This window comes from Homo sapiens, chromosome 20 (assembly GCF_000001405.40).
Source record: "Homo sapiens chromosome 20, GRCh38.p14 Primary Assembly".
Classification (NCBI taxonomy): Eukaryota; Metazoa; Chordata; class Mammalia; order Primates; family Hominidae; genus Homo; species Homo sapiens.
This window is the reverse complement of record NC_000020.11, coordinates 43,687,285-43,705,087: the sequence shown is the minus strand read 5'-3', so window position 1 is coordinate 43,705,087 and position 17,803 is coordinate 43,687,285. Positions and strand designations below refer to the sequence as shown.

At 47.7% G+C, this 17,803-nt stretch overlaps 1 protein-coding gene across 2 annotated transcripts in view; it reads right to left on the bottom strand.

Annotated features, from left to right (window-relative positions):
* The window catches only part of MYBL2 (MYB proto-oncogene like 2), a 49,369-nt gene that overhangs the window by 11,395 nt on the left and 20,171 nt on the right, over positions 1–17,803 (bottom strand). For both annotated transcript variants that reach the window (NM_002466.4, NM_001278610.2), the window contains 3 exons: positions 12,769–12,931; positions 5,044–5,331; positions 2,185–2,598 (listed from right to left, as the gene is read on the bottom strand). In NM_002466.4, the coding sequence (NP_002457.1) occupies positions 2,185–2,598; positions 5,044–5,331; positions 12,769–12,931 (865 nt within the window). The remainder of the gene's footprint in view (positions 1–2,184; positions 2,599–5,043; positions 5,332–12,768; positions 12,932–17,803) is intronic.

Genomic DNA, 17,803 nt, shown 5'->3' with positions numbered 1-17,803 from the left:
TTGACCCATCAGACACCCGAGAACAAGGACTGGGACAGATCGATGCCAGGAGCCCACCAAGCAGGTTCACACAGACCTCTGGGCTTCCGTCACCCTAATCCTAGCTTTTGCCATCTCTACTCGAGTGCTGACGACGCAGTTAAGGCACAGGAAGCCAACTGTGGGAGAGTGGCTCCTTCTCAGAAGAAATAAAACTAGCTCTGAACTGACCTGTGAAGGCAAAAGGCATGTGACAGTTGTAGTGTGCTGGTGGCGGTGGGGTTATCATTTAGAGGGCACCTTCTCTTGCCAGTGCTAAGCACTTCACACAAATAATTTCAATTAGTTACCACAAATCCTGAGACATAGGCACTATTACTATCCCCCTTTTACAGATAAGAAAACCAACGCTTAGAGAGGTTTTGAGTCTTGCACTGAGTGCTAGAAGTGAGAATGAAATCTAGATCTAAGCCAACATCCATCCTTTGAAGCACCCCGCTCTCTTCCCTCCCTGCCCTGAAGGTGCTATAATAGAGAGCCATCTGCAACCCTCAGGGTCACCACCCTAAATGGGGTCTCTGGAGTAGAGCGACCACGCTCCATCATCCTGAGCTTCCCAAATAGTAGCTGAGGGACCCGCTGCCTTCCTTCTCCAGCCAGCAGCCCTCACTTGCGGCATGTTACAGGCTGACCTGTGTCTCCCCCAAATTTACATCCTGAAGTCCCAACTCTCAGCACCTCAGAATGGGACTGTATTAATACTTGGAGATAGGGCCTTTAAAGTGGTTAGTTAGGCCAGGCGCGGTGGCTCACGCCTGTAATCCCAGCACTTTGGGAGGCCGAGGCAGGTGGATCACTTGAGGTCAAGAGTTCGAGACCAGTCTGGCCAACCTGGAGAAACCCTGTCTCTACTAAAAATACAAAAAAAATAGCCGGGCATGGTGGCTCATGCCTATAATCTCAGCTGCTCAGGAGCCTGAGGCAGGAAAATTCCTTGAACCTGGAAGGTGGAGATTGCAGTGAGCTGTGATCATGCCACTGCACTCCAGCCTCCAGCCTCCAGCCTGGGCAACAGAGCGACTCTCAAAAAATAAAGTCATTAGAGTGGGCCCTAATCCAATAACGGGTGTCCTTATAACATTATAAAATAAGAGGTTTTACAAGAAAAAATAATAGATTAGGACACAGGTGACCACGTGAAGACACAGGAGCCGCCAGCATCTACAAGCCAAGGAGAGAGGCCTCAGTAGAAACCAACACTGCTGAATTTCTTGTCAAATCCACCGAGCCTGTGGTACTCTGTTAAGCAGCCGGAGCAAACCGACACAGGGTCTCTCTCAAAATGCCACTAGCCATCCTGACCCGTGATGACAGGGTGGCCTCCTGCACCAGGCCACCTCAGGGCCTCGCTCTCTCCCACAGCCTCACAGGAAGAACAAACCTAATGAGAGCCAAAGCCCTAAGTTATACCTAGGCCCACCAAGGCCCTGCGCCACCCCCCACCACTCCACACATCCACTCTGTCCTTCCTTTTCTGTGCCTTTGGTCAAGGTGCTCAAGGAGACCCAGCCCAGACACCTCTCTGCAGGAAGGCCAGGTGCCCCCCATGACCTCTATCTCAGAGAGACCCTGGCACCCATCCCGGCTCCCGAGGCTCTGTGTGTTACTAACAGAGCACCCAGGGGCAACACCCAGAACAGTGAGTTCTCAGTGACTTCGCAATTGCTATCACATGGCACTTCCCACACTCTATTCTGGTTAATTCATTACAAGCCCATCCCCAGCACTGGCTATCCCAGGTCTTCCCAGGACCAGGCAGGGCCAGCCAGTGCTGGAGACAACCCATCATCTTCATCTTTGCTCCCCAGTGCTGGTAAGTCTGCTGTGAAATAGGTTCCATACGTGGACTGAACAAACACGACAGTTCTCTTCCTCTCCTTCATTACCCAGTTACCAGCATCCTCCTTCTCCTCCTGGCAGTCTTCCTGGACTTGCCCAGACTAGATACACATATGCAGCACCATAAGCCTTCTCTTTCATCCTGATTATCACATTTTCTGAGTCTTTTTTAGTTACCTGGTCTTCCTACCAGAGCATAAGCTGCATGAGGGCAGAGCCAGGTCTCGTTTTGCTCACCCTTGCCCCAGCACTGAACACTAGGTGTCTGTACCGACCCAATAAGCAGCCAGAGTGGGGTCCACGCACCTGGGAGGGCGAGAAGGGCAGGGTCTTAACAGGTGTGCTCTTGGGCGTGAGGCTGTTACAGGAATCCAGGAAGGACAGACTGGTGCTATTCTCAGTGACAGGGGACAGAGCCACACGCCTCTTCCTCTGCCGCTTGAGCACAGAGGGCGGTGTGCCAATGCCAGAGCCCCCGACTTCAGTGCTGGGGGAGATGGGGATCAGCTCGCCCCGGCTGCTCCGGCTCAGGTCTGAGATGGTGTGGCCATCCAGGCGGTACTCGGTCACACTGGGCACCAGGGCGGAAGGCTGGCGGGGTGGCAGGACTTGCTGCTGATGTGACGCTTGCAGCTGCACTAGGCTGTTGTTGATACTGTCCTCTGCAGATGGTTCCTCAGGGAGGTCAAATTTACTCAGGTCACACCAAGCATCAGGGTCCTGTCCAGGGAGGGAGGTTAGGAATTGCAATTACTATGCTCTTAATACAAGAGGACTCATTCATTACGGGAAATATTTAAGTGTCAAGTATGATCCCACAGCCCAGGACCAATCATTAATATTTCATGCATTTCCTCAAAGTTTTCTATGACTATACATCTATATTTTCATAGATTCTTCTTTTCTTTAAAGAGACAGGGTTTCACTCTGTTGCCTACGCTGGAGTACAGTAGCACAATCACAGCTCACTGCAGGCTTGAACTCCTGGGTTCAAGTGATCCTCCCGCCTCAGCCTCCCGAGTAGTTGGGACTACAGACATGTACCACCATTCTCGGCTAATTTTTTATTTTTTACTTTTTTTTGAGACAGAGACTTGCTCTGTCGCCCAGGCTGTAGTGCAGTGGTGCAACCTCGGCTCACTGCAACCTCCGCCTTCCGGGTTCAAGCAATTCTCCTGCCTCAGCCTCCTGAGTAGCTGGGACTACAGGCGTGTGCCACCACACCCATATTGGCCAGGCTGGTCTCGAACTCCTGACCTCAGGTGATCTGACCACCTTGGCCTCCAAAAGTGCTGGGATGACAGGTGTGAGCCACTGCACCCGGCTTCAGCTAATTTTTTAAAATATTTTTTATAGAGACTGTGTTTCACTGTGTTACCCAGGCTGGTCTCAAATTCCTGGGCTCACGTGATCCTCTCACCTCAGCCTCCCAAAGTGCTGGGATTACAGACATGAACCACAGTACCCAGCCTGCAGATATTTTTATAGAACGAAATATAGAGCAGTGAATGGGATGTCACTCATCATTGATGCCTCCTTGGGGCAGCTCACAAAAGTTATTTCCAATCCCCACAATTCTGCTAGGGAAGCATTACTTTCCCTTTCATACCAAGGAAGCTGAGCTAAGGGGATTCGGTCTTCCCAAAGTTACTCACTCAGCTTCTAGAACAAGCCCGTGAGTCACTACAGGTTTTCCCTCCTTTACCCAATAAATCACAACACAAACCAAAAGGCTTCTGGACACAGAGGCTTCCACTTTGGTCTTTGGGTTCTGGCTTCTGAGTGGACCCAGACACTAAAGCCGAGTTCTGGTTCCCTGGGGTAGTTCACTCCTAAGGGTGGAGGCCAGCTGGGGGGCAGGACCGACCTCAGGCCCACACCCCAATTCAGGGAGGACCCAGCACCGACAGTGTCTGGTAGACCAGAAGTACATCCTACAAGGACCACTGAAGTGGACGGAGCAGAGGAGGGAAGATGGGATTTCCACACACGCAGTAACTCCCCCAACAGGCGCTGAAGGTCATTGTGGAAAGAGCCTGAGCTCTGAGCCGGACAGCAAGGTTTAACTCCTGTTCCTGGAGGTCACCGGCTGTGTGAACCTGGCCAAGTCTCCTAACCTCTCTGAGCGTGGGGTGCTCTCACTGTTGATGAGTCCACTACCCACCTCACAGGCTGTTAAAGACCAACTAAGAGCCTACACATTAGGTAGCAAGTGATGGGCCTGGCACGCGGCAAGCACTCCAATGTTAGGTACTGTAATTACTCATTAAGCACTGGCTCCGGCAATCAGTGGGTGCTCAATACAAGCGAGCTGTGCCTGCCAAGCGATAGTAGCAGGAGCATAGCATGGCAGTCAAGACCACCAAGTATACTTGCTGTGCAACCTTGGGTACACTACTTGACCTCTCTGAGCCTCAGTTTCACCTAAAAAACAGAAATGACACACCTCACAGGATACCACGCAGACTGTATGTTAAGCTCAGACCCTGGCAGTTAGATGTTCTAGGATGGGAGACACCTGGGTGGAAAGGCGAACACGGACCCCCATACTGAACTCCCCACCCTAGTGACCAGGCCTCTGGTCTTTCACCTCCCAAAACCCGCTCTACACAGCAGGCCTGGCCGATGCAGCCAGGAGCCGGGGTGTCACACCAAGAAGCCCTCCTCAAAGGACACAACCACACAGCCAACACAGTAACCACAACACGGGCTCAATGGCTGCCCCACCCTGAGTAACCAGAACCCACTCACCACTCCAAGACCAGCACCAAGACTTGGCATTTCCTGGGCTCCTCTTCAGGGAGACCCAACCATGTGTGATGCCACAAATACCACGCTGTCCTGTGCTGTCACCTGCCAGTCAACCTTTAGGACTCAGTTCAGTGCCACCTCCTCTGGGCAGCCTTCCCACCCCGCCCTGTGCCATACATAGAGGTCAGATGCCACCACAAACTCCTGCTGCACACACCGGGAGCTCCCCAAGGATAGGGACTGCATGCTGACAACCCTGGTGTCCCCAGCCCTTGGGTCAGGGCTAGGCATTCAGCATCAAGTCAGTAACTGTTAGCAGGGCGATGGAATGAGCAAAAGGATGTGGGCCTGAGAGAGAAGCACTTCCTGCTGGGGGTGTTCTGTGCTCACTGTGAAGTGTTGTGACCAACATACCGACTCGATCAAGTCCAGGGCTTCAGAGAGGCTAGAACCCACAGCAGGGATGAGGAGGTTAGCTGCCTCCACCACCCACTTGTAAGGCAGGCTCGTTTCTGGTGGGGAGCCTTCCTGGTCCTCACGCTTCGGGAATTCCTCCAAGGGCTCTGGTGTTCGCACTGCGTCCAGATCTGTACCGATGGGCTCCTGTTCCTTCGATGTGGTGGCTGCTGCAAGTTCCTCCTCACTGTTTTCCTCCTCCTTTATGGTAGGAGGGACGGAGGGCCAGTTGGTCAGAAGACTTCCCTGTAAGACACAAGAATACACCATTTGCATTTCGCTGAGATATAGACTATATAGTAGTTTCCAGCTAAACCACACAACCTGAATCTAAGAAGGAAACTGTGATGAACCCAAATAGAGAAACATTCTACAGAATAATTAGCCATACCATATACTTCCAAAATGTCAACATCATGACACTAAGAAAGGCTGACTAAAGGGATAGGACAACTAAATGCAATGTCTGGTCTTAGACTGCATCATGGACAGGGAAAAATGGAATATAAACTGTAGATAAAGATCCTGAATTAGGCTTAAATTCCCTGGATTGAATATAACTTTATTGTGGTTATGTAAGCAAATGGCCTTATTCTTAGGAATCTATGCTACATAACTAACTCTCAAATGGCTCAGATGAAAGAAGTAATACACAGAGGTTGGGTGCAGAGGCTCACGCCTGTAATCCCAACACTTTGGGAGGTCGAGGCTGGTGGATCACCTGAGGTCAAGAGTTCGAGATCAGCCTGGCCAACATGGTGAAACCCTGTCTCTACTAAAAACAAAACAAAACAAAATTAGCCAGGTGTGGTGGCAGGCACCTGTAATCCTAGCTACTCGGGAGGCTGAGGCAGGAGAATTGCTTGAACCTGGGAGGCAGAGGTTGCAGTGAGCTGAGATCGCACCATTGCACTACAGCCTAGGTAACAAGAGCAAAACTCTGTCTCAAAAAAATTAAAAAATAAATTTTTAATGCTTAATAAACATTAAAAAATAAAAAGACCAGGTACAGTGGCTTATGCCTGTAACTCTAGCACTTTGGGAGGCTGAGGCAATTGGGTCCCTTGAGTTCCTGAATTCAAGGTTGCAATGGGCTATGATCACACCACTGCACTCCAGCCTGGGCAACACAACAAGACTCTAATAAAAAAAAAAGGGAGGGGGGAGGGGGCTGGGTGTGGCGGCTCACACCTGTAATCCCAGAACTCTGAAAAGCTCAGGCAAGAGGACCCCTTGAGTTCATGAGTTCAAGGTTGCAGTGAGCTATGATCACGCCACTGCACTACAGTCTGGGGTACAGAGCAAGACCCTGCTCATTTAAAAAAAAAAAAAAAAAAAAAATCACGCCTGTAATCCCAGCACATTGGGAGGCCGAGACGGGCGGATCACAAGGTCAGGAGGATCGAGACCATCCTGGCTAACACGGTGAAACCCCATCTCTACTAAAAATACAAAAAATTAGCCAGGTGTGGTGGCAGGCGCCTGTAGTTCCAGCTACTTGAGAGGCTGAGGCAGGAGAATGGTGTGAACCCGGAAGATGGAGCTTGCAGTGAGCCGAGACTGCGCCACTGCACTCCAGCCTGGGCTACAGAACGAGACTCTGTCTCAAAAAAAAAAAAAAAAAAAAAAAAAAAAAAAAAAAAAAAAAAAATATGCGGGGCGTGGTGGCTCACACCTGTAATCCCAACACTTTGGGAGGCCAAGGCAGACAGATCCCTTGAGCCCAGGAGTTCGAGACCAGCCTGGGCAAACCCCATCTCTATAAAACAAACGAACAAACAAAAAGTGAATTTTATTGTATGTAAATTATACCTTTATAAAATAAAGAAAAAAAGCTACCAAACTGGGAAAAAATAGTTACTACATGATAAAGGAGTAGCATCCTTAATATACAAATAAAATGTACAAACCAGTAACAAGATAAAAAAAAAAAAAAAAAAAGACAACCAAGCCAAATAACAAATTAACAAATTAAGGGGTAATTTGTTACTCACCCTCATTAATAGTAAAAGAAATGAAAACCAAAACAATGAATCAAAACATCACATTGCACACCATAAATACACGCAATTTTTTTTTTTTTTTTTTGAGATGGAGTCTCACTCTGTTGCCCAGGCTGAAATGCAGTGGCGCGATCTCGGCTCACTGCAAGCTCCACCTCCCAGGTTCACGCCATTCTCCTGCCTCAGCCTCCCTAGTAGCTGGGACTACAGGTGCCCGCCACCATGACCGGTTAATTTTTTGGGTTCTTTTTTGTATTTTTAGTAGAGATGGGGTTTCACCATGCTAGCCAGGATGGTCTCCATCTCCTGACCTCGTGATCCGCCTGCCTCAGCCTCCCAAAGTGCTGGGATTACAGGCGTGAGCCATTGCGCCCAGCCCTTGTTGTTTTTTGAGACAGAGTCTTGCTGTTACCCAGGCTGGCGTGCAGAGGCACACTCTCAGCTCACTGCAACCTCCACCTCCCAGGTTCAGGTGATTCTCATGCCTCAGCCTCCTGAGCAGCTGGGACTACAGGCGTGCACCACCACACCCGGTTAATTTTTTATATTTTTAGTAGAGATGGGGTTTCACCGTATTGGCCAGGCTGGCCTCAAACTCCTAGCCTCAAGTGATCCGCCCACTTCAGCCTCCCAAAGTGCTGGGAATACAGGCATGAGCCACCGCCCCTGGTCAATATATGCAATTTATTTGTCAATTATATTTTAATAAAGCTGAAAAAAAAAAGATCAACTCCAAAGTAATTCAATCAAAATAAGAACATGATAATGCATTTGTTGCTCATTAAAACTGGCAAAGATTTTTTTTCATATAACCATAGCCGGTATTGACAATAAGGCTGGAAACAAGCAGTCCTATATACCACCTATAGCAGGATTAAACAGTACAATCCCTTTGGCAGCAATTCGGCAATGCTTATGAAAACTTCAAATGTCCACACTATTTTACCCAATCATTCCACATCTATAAAATCAACCGGCCGGGCGCAGTGGCTCACGCCTGTAATCCCAGCACTTTGGGAGACTGAGGCGGGGAGATCACGAGGTCAAGAAATCGAGACCATCCTGGCCAACATGGTGAAACCCCATCTCTACTAAAAATACAAAAATTAGCTGGGCATGGTGCTGCATGCCTGTAATCCCAGCTACTCAGGAGGCTGAGGCAGGAGAATCACTTCAACCCGGGAGGCGGAGGTTGCAGTGAGCCAAGGTCACACCACTGCACTCCAGCCTGGCAACAGAGTGAGACCCCATCTAAAAACAAAAAAATCAACCACACAGTTCAGCAAATGTACAAAGAAACTGAACAATGATGATCATTATAGCATTGATGGAAATAGTAACAGATGTTTGACAATATAATGGTTAAATAAGATACGGCAAATTCAGGAATGTTGGAGATCTGAATACACATAACAACATGGAACGATATGTTAAATAGAAAAAGAAAGTTGTAAAAGAGTAAGACATCGTCTAATTTTAAGCCTGGTGTGGTGGCTCACGCCTGTAATCCCAGTATTTTGGGAGGCCAAGGTGGGCAGATCACCTGAGGTCAGGAGTTTGAGACCAGCCTGACCAACATGGAGAAACCCCAATTAGCCAGGCATGGTGGCACATGCTTGTAATCCCAGCTACTCGGCAGGCTGAGGCAGGAGAATCGCTTGAACCCGGGAGGCGGAGGTTGCGGTGAGCCAAGATCATACCACTGCACTCCAGCCTGGGCAACAAGAGCAAAACTCCGTCTCAAAAAAAAAAAAAAGTTGAGATGAGCAGGCTCAACCTTCTGCATTGCCCAATTCTATAAAGTTGTTAAGTTTTTGCAATGATCACGCATTACTTCTGAAGCAGAGGAAACAATTTTATAATAGCAAGCACTGACCAGTGAGTGGAGAAGTTGGGAGTGGTCCCATACACGAATTAACATGCAAAATTCTTCTGGCAGCAATCTAACAAAATGTATTAAGAGGTTTTTTTTCTTTTCTTTTTAAGACAGAGTCTTGCTGTCACCCAAGGCTGGAGTGCAGCAGTGCGAACTCGGCTCACTGCAACCTCCGCCACGCCAGTTCAAGTGGATTCTCAATTATCGTGCCTCAGCCTCCCGAGTAGCTGGGATTACAAGCCTGTGTCACCACGCCCACCTCAGCCTCCCAAAGTGCTGAGATTACAGGTGTAAGCCATGACGCCTGGCCTGTTTGCTTTTTCAAAGACAGAGTCTCACTCTGTTGAAATACTGGGCTCAAGTGAACTTCCTGCCCCAGGCTCCAAAGTAGTTGGAACTACAGGTGTGTGCCACCGCACCAGCTTTTTTTTTTTTTTGTAAAGACAGTCTCCCTATGTTGCCCAGACTGGTCACAAACTCCTGGCCTCAAGGAATCCTCCCAACTTGGCCTCACAAAGTGCTGGGATTACAGGAATGAGCCACCATACTCAGCCAAAAGGGTTCCCCCCACCACCAAATATATTTGTCCATCTCTAGGAATTTCTCAAGAAATAACTGCACAAAGAAGCAGTCATTTGGCCACAAGGGTGACTGTTAAGAGTTTTATCTCTAATAACAAAAAACCAGTAATACCCTTATCTACATCAGTAAGAAACTAGTTAAATAAATAGCACACCAGAAAGACCACATTGGAGAGACACGGGTAAGGCTGAAATCAACACAGGCCCGGCATGGTGGCTCATGCCTGCAATCCTAGCACTTTGAGAGGCTGAGGCAGGTGGATCACCTGAGGTCAGGAGTTCAAGACCAGCCTGGCCAAAATGGCAAAACCCCATCTCTACTAAAAATACAAAAATTTGCCAGGATGGTGGCGAATGCCTATAATCCCAGTTTCCCAGCTACTCAGGAGGCTGAGGCAGGAGAACCACTTGAACTTGGGAGGTGGAGGTTGCAGCAAGCAGAGATGGCACCACTGCACTCCAGCCTGGGCAAGAGCAAGACTCTGTCTCCAAAAAAAAAAAAAAATTGACCTCCTGTGCTCAGGGTCATGGTCTGGGGCTTGGTCCCAGCCCAGCACAGCCAGCACTCCAGACACTCAAAGTGTCAGGGGACAAAAGCCAAGTCAATAACTGGCTTTCAGCACAGTAGAGTTTTTAAGAGACTAGAGATCTGTTCACTCTGTCCTATGCTGAAAGTCTTCTATGAGTCGGCTGATGCCCGCTGTTTCTCTTTGTGGAACGGAGACCTTTTCTTCAATCAGAAGTAAAAGATCAAACACATACTACTTAGATGTACAAGAAATTGTCAGAAGTAGACTCCTCCGGTTAAGAGATGCACAGGGAGTTGAAACCAGAAAAAGAAGTCGTTTTACTTTTCATTTGATACATTTCTCTGCCCTTTGAAAGTTACCCCATAGGTGCATTCATATTGGGCAATCGAGAGATATTCTCTAAAATTGAAAATTCAAGAAATAGAGGCAAAAACATAATATATCGCTCTAGCAGGGCATTGTGGAAGAATTGTAACTGTCAACAAGTTATCTCTACCCAGTAAGAAGAGGGAAAAAGATTTTTTAAAATTATTAAATAGTTCACACCATGACAGAAAAGATTAGAAAATAACAAAGGACAATTGTTACCTACCACACAGCCGGCATCATCAAATCTATTTTTTGTCATGCTTGCTTCAAATTTTTATTTATTTATTTAATTTTCTTTAGTTTTATTTTTTTGTGACAGAGTCTCACTCTGTCACCCAGGCTGGAGTGCAGTGGCGTGATCTCGGCTCACTGCAAGCTCTGCCTCCCGGGTTCACGCCATTCTCCTGCCTCAGCCTCCTGGGTAGCTGGGACTACAGGCACCCGCCACCACGCCCAGCTAATTTTTTGTACTTTTAGTAGAGACGGGGTTTCACCGTGTTAGCCAGGATGGTCTCAATCTCCTGTCCTCGTGATCCACCCGCCTCGGCCTCCCAAAATGCTGCAATTACAGGCGTGAGCCACCGTGCCCGGCCTTCAAATTTTTATTTTATTTATAAATAAAAGCTGGAGTGCAGTGGCGGGATCTCAACTCACTGCAACTTCCACCTCCCAGGCTCAAATAATCCTTCCACCTCAGCCTCCCAAGTAGCTGGGACTACAGGTGCACAAAATCACACACAGCTAATTTTCCTTTTTATAGAAATGGGGTTTCACCATGTTGCCCAAGCTGGTCTTAAACTCCTGGGCTCAAGAGATCCAAAAGCCTTGGCCTCCCAAAGTGCTGGGATTACAGATGTTAGCCACCACGCCCTACCCAAATTTTTATTTTGAAAAATAACCTTTAGAGATATAGCTAAAAAATATAAATAAAAACTTTGCTCTGGTATATAGGACAGTGGATGTTAACATAAGTATATACTGATTTCATTTTTAAAACTGCAAATGTAGCTGGGGCATGCTGGCTCACGTCTGTAATGCCAGCACTTTGGGAGGCTCAGGTGGGTGGATCATTTGAAGTCAGGAGTTTGAGACCAGTTTGACCAACATGGTGAGACCCCCATCTCTAAGAATACAAAAATTAGCCAGGCATGGTGGTGTGCACCTGTAATCCCAGCTACTCGGGATGCTGAGTTAGCAGAATCGCTTTAACCTGGGAGGCGGAGGTTGCAGTGAGCTATCATATAACTGCACTCCAGCCTGAGCGACAGAGACTCCATCTCAAAAAATAAATAAATAAAAACTGCAAATGTAGTGCCAGACATGGTGGCTCACATCTGTAATCCCAACACTTTGGGAGGCCAAGGCAGGCGGATCTCTTCAGGCTAGGAATTCAAACCCAGCCTGGCCAACGTGGTGAAACCCCATCTCTACTAAAAATGCAAAAATTAGTCAGGCGTGGTGGTGCATGCCTGTAATCTCAGCTACTCAGGTTGCTGAGGCATGAGATCGCTTGATCCCAGGAGGCAGAGGTTACAGTGAGCCAAGATCACACCCTGCAACTCCAGCCTGGGCATCAGAGCAAAACTCTGTCTCAAAAAAAACAGCCTGCAAATGTAATACTATAGGATTTTAATTGTTAATTTCTAGAAAAGTCAAAATTATAGAGACAGAAAACAGATCACAGTGCAAGGAGCTAAGGGCCGAAAAAAGGCTAAGAAAAGGAGCACGAGGGAATTCTGGGGTGATGGGACTGTTGTATACCTTGACTGTGACAGTGGTTACATGGCTGTATGCTTTGTCATAACTCAAAACTGTTTATTAGAGTACGTAAATTACAACTCAATACATTTTTTAATTTTTTTTAATTAAAAAGATAGAGACAAGGTTTCACCATGTTGCCTGAACTGGCCTCCAACTCCTGGGCTTGAGCAATCCGCCCGCTTCAGCCTCTCAACTTGCTGGGATTACAGGTGTGAACCAACGCACCCAGCCACCTCTGATTTTTTTATTGCAAACATGCTTTCAGTTTTAAAAAATTAAAATGAGCAACAGGTAAGAAGGTGGCCACCAGCAAGGAGAGATGGAGGCTGAGGATCTCCTTAACTAATTCACAGTTTTATATAATCAGCTTGCTCTGCTATCCTTCATCTGCAGGCAGACAAGTGCCAGTTATGTGCAGAAGTCTCACAAGGCCCCAGAAGCACAGAGCCCACTTTTAGACTCTGTGGCAGAAACTGACCAATAGCTGTGGACAAGGTGTTCAATGAGATGGTGTCAGATGAATGTGAAATCAAACCAAGCCAAAGGCTGAGCAGCTGTCTCACCTGGCCTTCCGTGGGCTGGGCACTCTGGAGGCCGTCCTTGTCCTCGAGCTCCAGCAGCAAGTACACTGGGGGCTTGCAGTCTTTGGACTCGCTCAAGAAGCCTCCTGTGTCCACCTTCCTTTTGATGGTAGAGTTCCAGTGATTCTTCACAGCATTGTCTGTCCTGCAGGGGGCAGCAGGGGGCCTTTGAACCCCAGCTCTGTGGGTGGGGTGCCATCAGGCACATCACTAACCTCCCTAAGCCAAGTTCCTGCTCCTGTAAATGAATCTTCCACTAGATGAACTCTAAGGTCTCTTTCAGTTCCAAGATGAAGTCTCACAAGTCTCTAGCCCTAATAATTTACAGAGCATTTCCACGAAGCTCTGTGAAATAAGCAACTGAATCATTCAGGCTATGGCAAAAATTATAAAATGGCACCAGCTACTGTCAGGTTCAGGTAAAAAACAAAATTTTTTTTAATTAAAAAAAAAAAAAAATTGCCGAGTGCGGTGGCTCACCACACCTGTGATCCCAGCACTCTGGGCGGCCTAGGCGAGCAGATCACCTGAGATCGGGAGTTCGAGACCAGCCTGACCAACACAGAGAAACCCTGTCTCTACTAAAAATACAAAATTAGCCAGGCATGGTGGCACATGCCTGTAATCCCAGCTACTTGGGAGTCTGAGGAAGGAGAATCGCTTGAACCCAGGAGGTAGAGGTTGTGGTTAGCCAAGATGATGCCATTGCACTCCAGCCTGGGAACAAAAGTAAAATTCCACCTCAAAAAAAAAAAAAATGTATATATAAGACCAGGAACAGTGGCTCACGCCTGTAATCCTGGCACTTTGGGAGGTGCTGGGCGTGATGCCAGGCACCTGTAATCCCAGCTACTTGGGAGTCTGAGGCATGAGAATCGCTTAAACCCGGGAGGTGGAGGTTGTGATGAGCCGAGATTGCGCCACTGCACTACAGCCTGGGCAACAGAGTGAGACTCCATCTCAAAAATAAATAAAAATGAAAAAAAAAATTTTAAATTTTTTAAAAATTATAAAACTGAAGATATGTGCTTGGAACTCTCACCCCCTTCCCTGCCCACTTCGAATGTGTAGAAGCCATAAGCAACACTGTCTGCTCATTTCCACTGAGTCTCACGCTGACCTCAGATGCAAGGCCTGTTCACCTCCCACAGACTGATAAGTGGCCAAAGAGGGCAGAAGGCCCAGAACTGTTCACCTCCCTAAGCCTTGGTTTCTTTATCTGGAAGGTCAGAAGACTACGTCATACTCCATCACTCACTGAAGATTCAGGGAGGAGACACATCTACAGTAGAACAGTAGCATAAAGCACAGAGTAGAGTAGCAGAGAAACATGTAGTAATAAAGGCATAGAGTAATACAGAAGGACGGGATAGTACCACAAAAGTGTATAGAAGTATAGTGGTGAGAAGCAAGCGGCAGGTCAGGCGCGGTGGCTCACGCCTGTAATCCCAGCACTTTGGGAGGCTGAGGCAGGTGGATCACCTGAGGTCAGGAGTTCAAGACCAGCCTGGCCAACATAGTGAAACCCCATCTCTACTAAAAATACAAAGGTACTGTGCTGACACATAGTAGTCACCACCTTCTTTGGAGTGCCAAGCAGAATACTCTTTCCTTGAAAAGTGAACAGAGAGTAACAGCTTAACTGAGCACCCAGTCTAAGAGAATATCCTCGGATCATTTGCACTCTAAGCCTTCAGGGACACAATGCTCACTGGGCAAAGGTGTAGGGTAAGGGGTGCTCCTGGTGCTTTGCCCAGATCCTCTGTCCCTACAGCGAATCCAATCCCCCAGCTGCCGGGCATGCTGCCGACGGCTTCTACTATGACTTTATCTGCATAAGAGCCCTTGGAAGCAGATCACCTAAGGTCAGGAGTTCAACACCAGCCTGGCCAACATGGTGAAATCCCGTCTCTACCAAAAATACAAAAATTAGCCAGGCGTGGTGGTGCATACCTGTAATCCCAGCTACTCAGGAGGCTGAGGCAGGAGAATCGCTTGAACCTGGGACGCGGAGGTTGCAGTGAGCTGAGGTCACGCCACTGCACTCCAGCCTGGGCGACAGAGCAAGACTCCGTCTCAAAAAACAAAAAACAAACAAAAAAAAAAAAACAAAAAACAGCTCTTGGAAGGCACAACCGAAGATGCCCCAGGAGTTCCCCAACCCATGTACACATGCGCCCTCCTCATATGTACATACCTCGCATGCATACATGTGAACACACACACTCCTTGGCCTTATAGCAGGCCAAAGCTCTATTTTCCAAGACCCCATCCCTTGCTTGGCCCCTTCCCTTCTTTTCTCCACTCCTTCCCTCACAGGTGAGAACCTTTCCAAGAGATCCCATGTACCTGAAACTCTTGAGTCACAGGTTCCGCTTCCAGGGAACCTGACCCAAAACACCTCCCCAGCCCTCCCACTCCCCAAGACCAGAGTCTGGGGTGCCCCAAGCTATAGTGAGACTCCTTCTTTTGCTCGCATATAAAAAGCACCCACTGTGTGCCAGGCATTATTGTAGGCACTGGGGATCCATCTGGTAAATAAGACAAGTGGCTGCCATTGACAGTTAAATCTAGCAGGGGAGATGAATGTTATCTTCAGCTACAACTGGGGTACACACTACTCTGCAGACAGGTGTGGGCACAACACAGAGGTCACCAGAGACCAACCACAGTCTGGGAGAACAGAGAAAACTTCTCTGAAGAAATAGCACCCCCACTGAGAACTGAAGGATGAGAACACATTAGCTACACAATAGGCACAAGCGGGAGTGCACTGCAGGCCGACAGAGGAGCACTAGGAGCTCTGAGAAGAGCTCAGGGTTCGAGGGACTGAAAGGAGGCAAAGCAGCTAACACCGAGTAAGCACAAGTGACAGTGGATCAAGGTGAGGCTGGTGGCACCTGTGAGCCAAACAGGCCATGGGGGGAAAGAAGCCAGAGTTTCCAACCCAAGTGTCAGGGGAAGCCCCAGAAAGATGACACATTCAGGTTTGAGCTTTGAAAAGGGATCATTTCAGACTTTGGGGAAAACACACCATCTGGCATTTTCTCTCCCTGCCAGGACCACACTGCCATGACAAAAAAAGGGATTCAAAATAAAGCAAGGCAAAAATTCACAAGGACAAAGAGAAACAGGTAGAAGACAGCCACTAGTAAGAGATTTTTTACAAGTTTTCATAAGATGGAAAACAGGGGAACAATATCCAGCTTAGGGCCAGGTGCGGTGGCTCACACCTGTAATCTCAGCACTTCGGGAGGCCCAAGGCAGGCAGATCACCTGAGGTCAGGAGTTCAAGACTAGCCTGGCCAAGATGGCAAAACCCCATCTCTACTAAAAATACAAAAATTAGTCAGGTGTGGTGGCGGGCGCCTATAATCCCAGCTACTCAGGAGGCTGAGGCAGGAGAATCACTTGAACCCAGGAGGCAGAGGTTGCAGTGAGCCGAGATCATGCCACTACACTCCAGCCTGGGTGATAAGAGCGAAATTCGGTCTTAAAAAAAATATAATATTGACAGAGAAGTAAGCTATTGAAACCACAAAATAAGAATAGGGTGCCAGGCCAGGTGTGGTGGCTCATGCCTGTAATCCCAGCACTTTGGGACCAGCCTGGGCAACATAGGGAGACCCTGCCCCTACAAAAAATTTTAAAACTAGCTGGGTATGCTGGCATGAGCTTGTAGTCCCAGGTCCTTGGAAGGCTGAGGCAGAAGGATTGCTTGAGTTCAGGAGGGTGAAGCTGCAATGAGCCATGATTATGCCCCTGCACTCCAGCTTAGGTGACAGAGTGAGAACCCTGTTTTAAAGAGTCTGGGCATAGTGGCTCATGCCTGTAATCCCAACACTTTGTGAGGCTGAGGTGGGCAGGAGGTCAAGAGTTCGAGACCAGCCTGGCCAACATGGTGAAATTCCATCTCTACTAAAAATACAAAAATTAGCCAGGCATGGTGGCACAGACCTGTAGTCCCAGCTACTTGGGAGGCTGAACCAGGAGAATCGTTTCAACCTGGGAGGCAGAGGTTGCAGTGAGCCCGGATCACGCCACTGCACTCCAGCCTGGATGACAGAGCGAGACTCTGGTCTCCCAAAAAAAAGAATAAATAAAAAATAAAAAAAGAGTGCCAGAAAAGGGAGGAGCCCTTAGAAAGTAAAATTTTTAGGGAAAATAATTTCAAAAAAAGAGAAGATAAGAAGTCTCCTAGAAAATGAAGCAAAACAGATGAAAAATAGGAGAAAAGATCATGGAATGCTTTCAGTATTTAGGGGAAAAAAAAATTTTTTTTTTTTTTTTTGGAGACAGTCTCGCTCTGTCGCCCAGGCTGGAGTGCAGTGATATGATCTCGGCTCACTGCAACCTCTGCCTCCTGGGTTCAAGCAATTCTGCCTCAGCCTCCCAAGTAGCTGGGATTACAGGCTCACCAACACATCCCGCTAATTTTTTGTATTTTTAGTAGAGATGAGGCTTCACTGTGTTGGCCAGGCTGGTCTCGAACTCCTGACCTCAAGTGATCCACCCACCTCAGCCACCCAACGTGCTAGGATTACAGGCATGAGCCACCATGCCCGTCCATAAACATTATTATTTTAATAACTATCATACATTATTGGAGCAATAGGGACATATGGGGAGTGGGAAAGCCTAAGAAAGCTAATCTCCCATAGCAGAGGATCAATATGAAAAATGGCACATCACTTAAAGAGATAAAGAACTCAAAAAGATGAGTCTGTTTTAGTAGAGTCATTTAACAGAGTGGTGACAAAGACTGATGTTTTTCATTATTAAACCTTTTAAGAAAAAGAAAAACAAAAAACACCTTTTAGCAGATTATAGTACTACCTGATTTTTGATCATTTTCTTCTTAAAGAAAGCCCATCTATCCCACATCTCAAGCCTATTCTGTGTTAGAAGAAACTGAAGTCGAAGAGAAGAGGCTAACCAAGAAGACACAGTGAGCTGGGAACAGGATGAGAACTAGACTCCAGGGTTCCCGATTTCTTGCTGAGGCCTCCCTTATCAC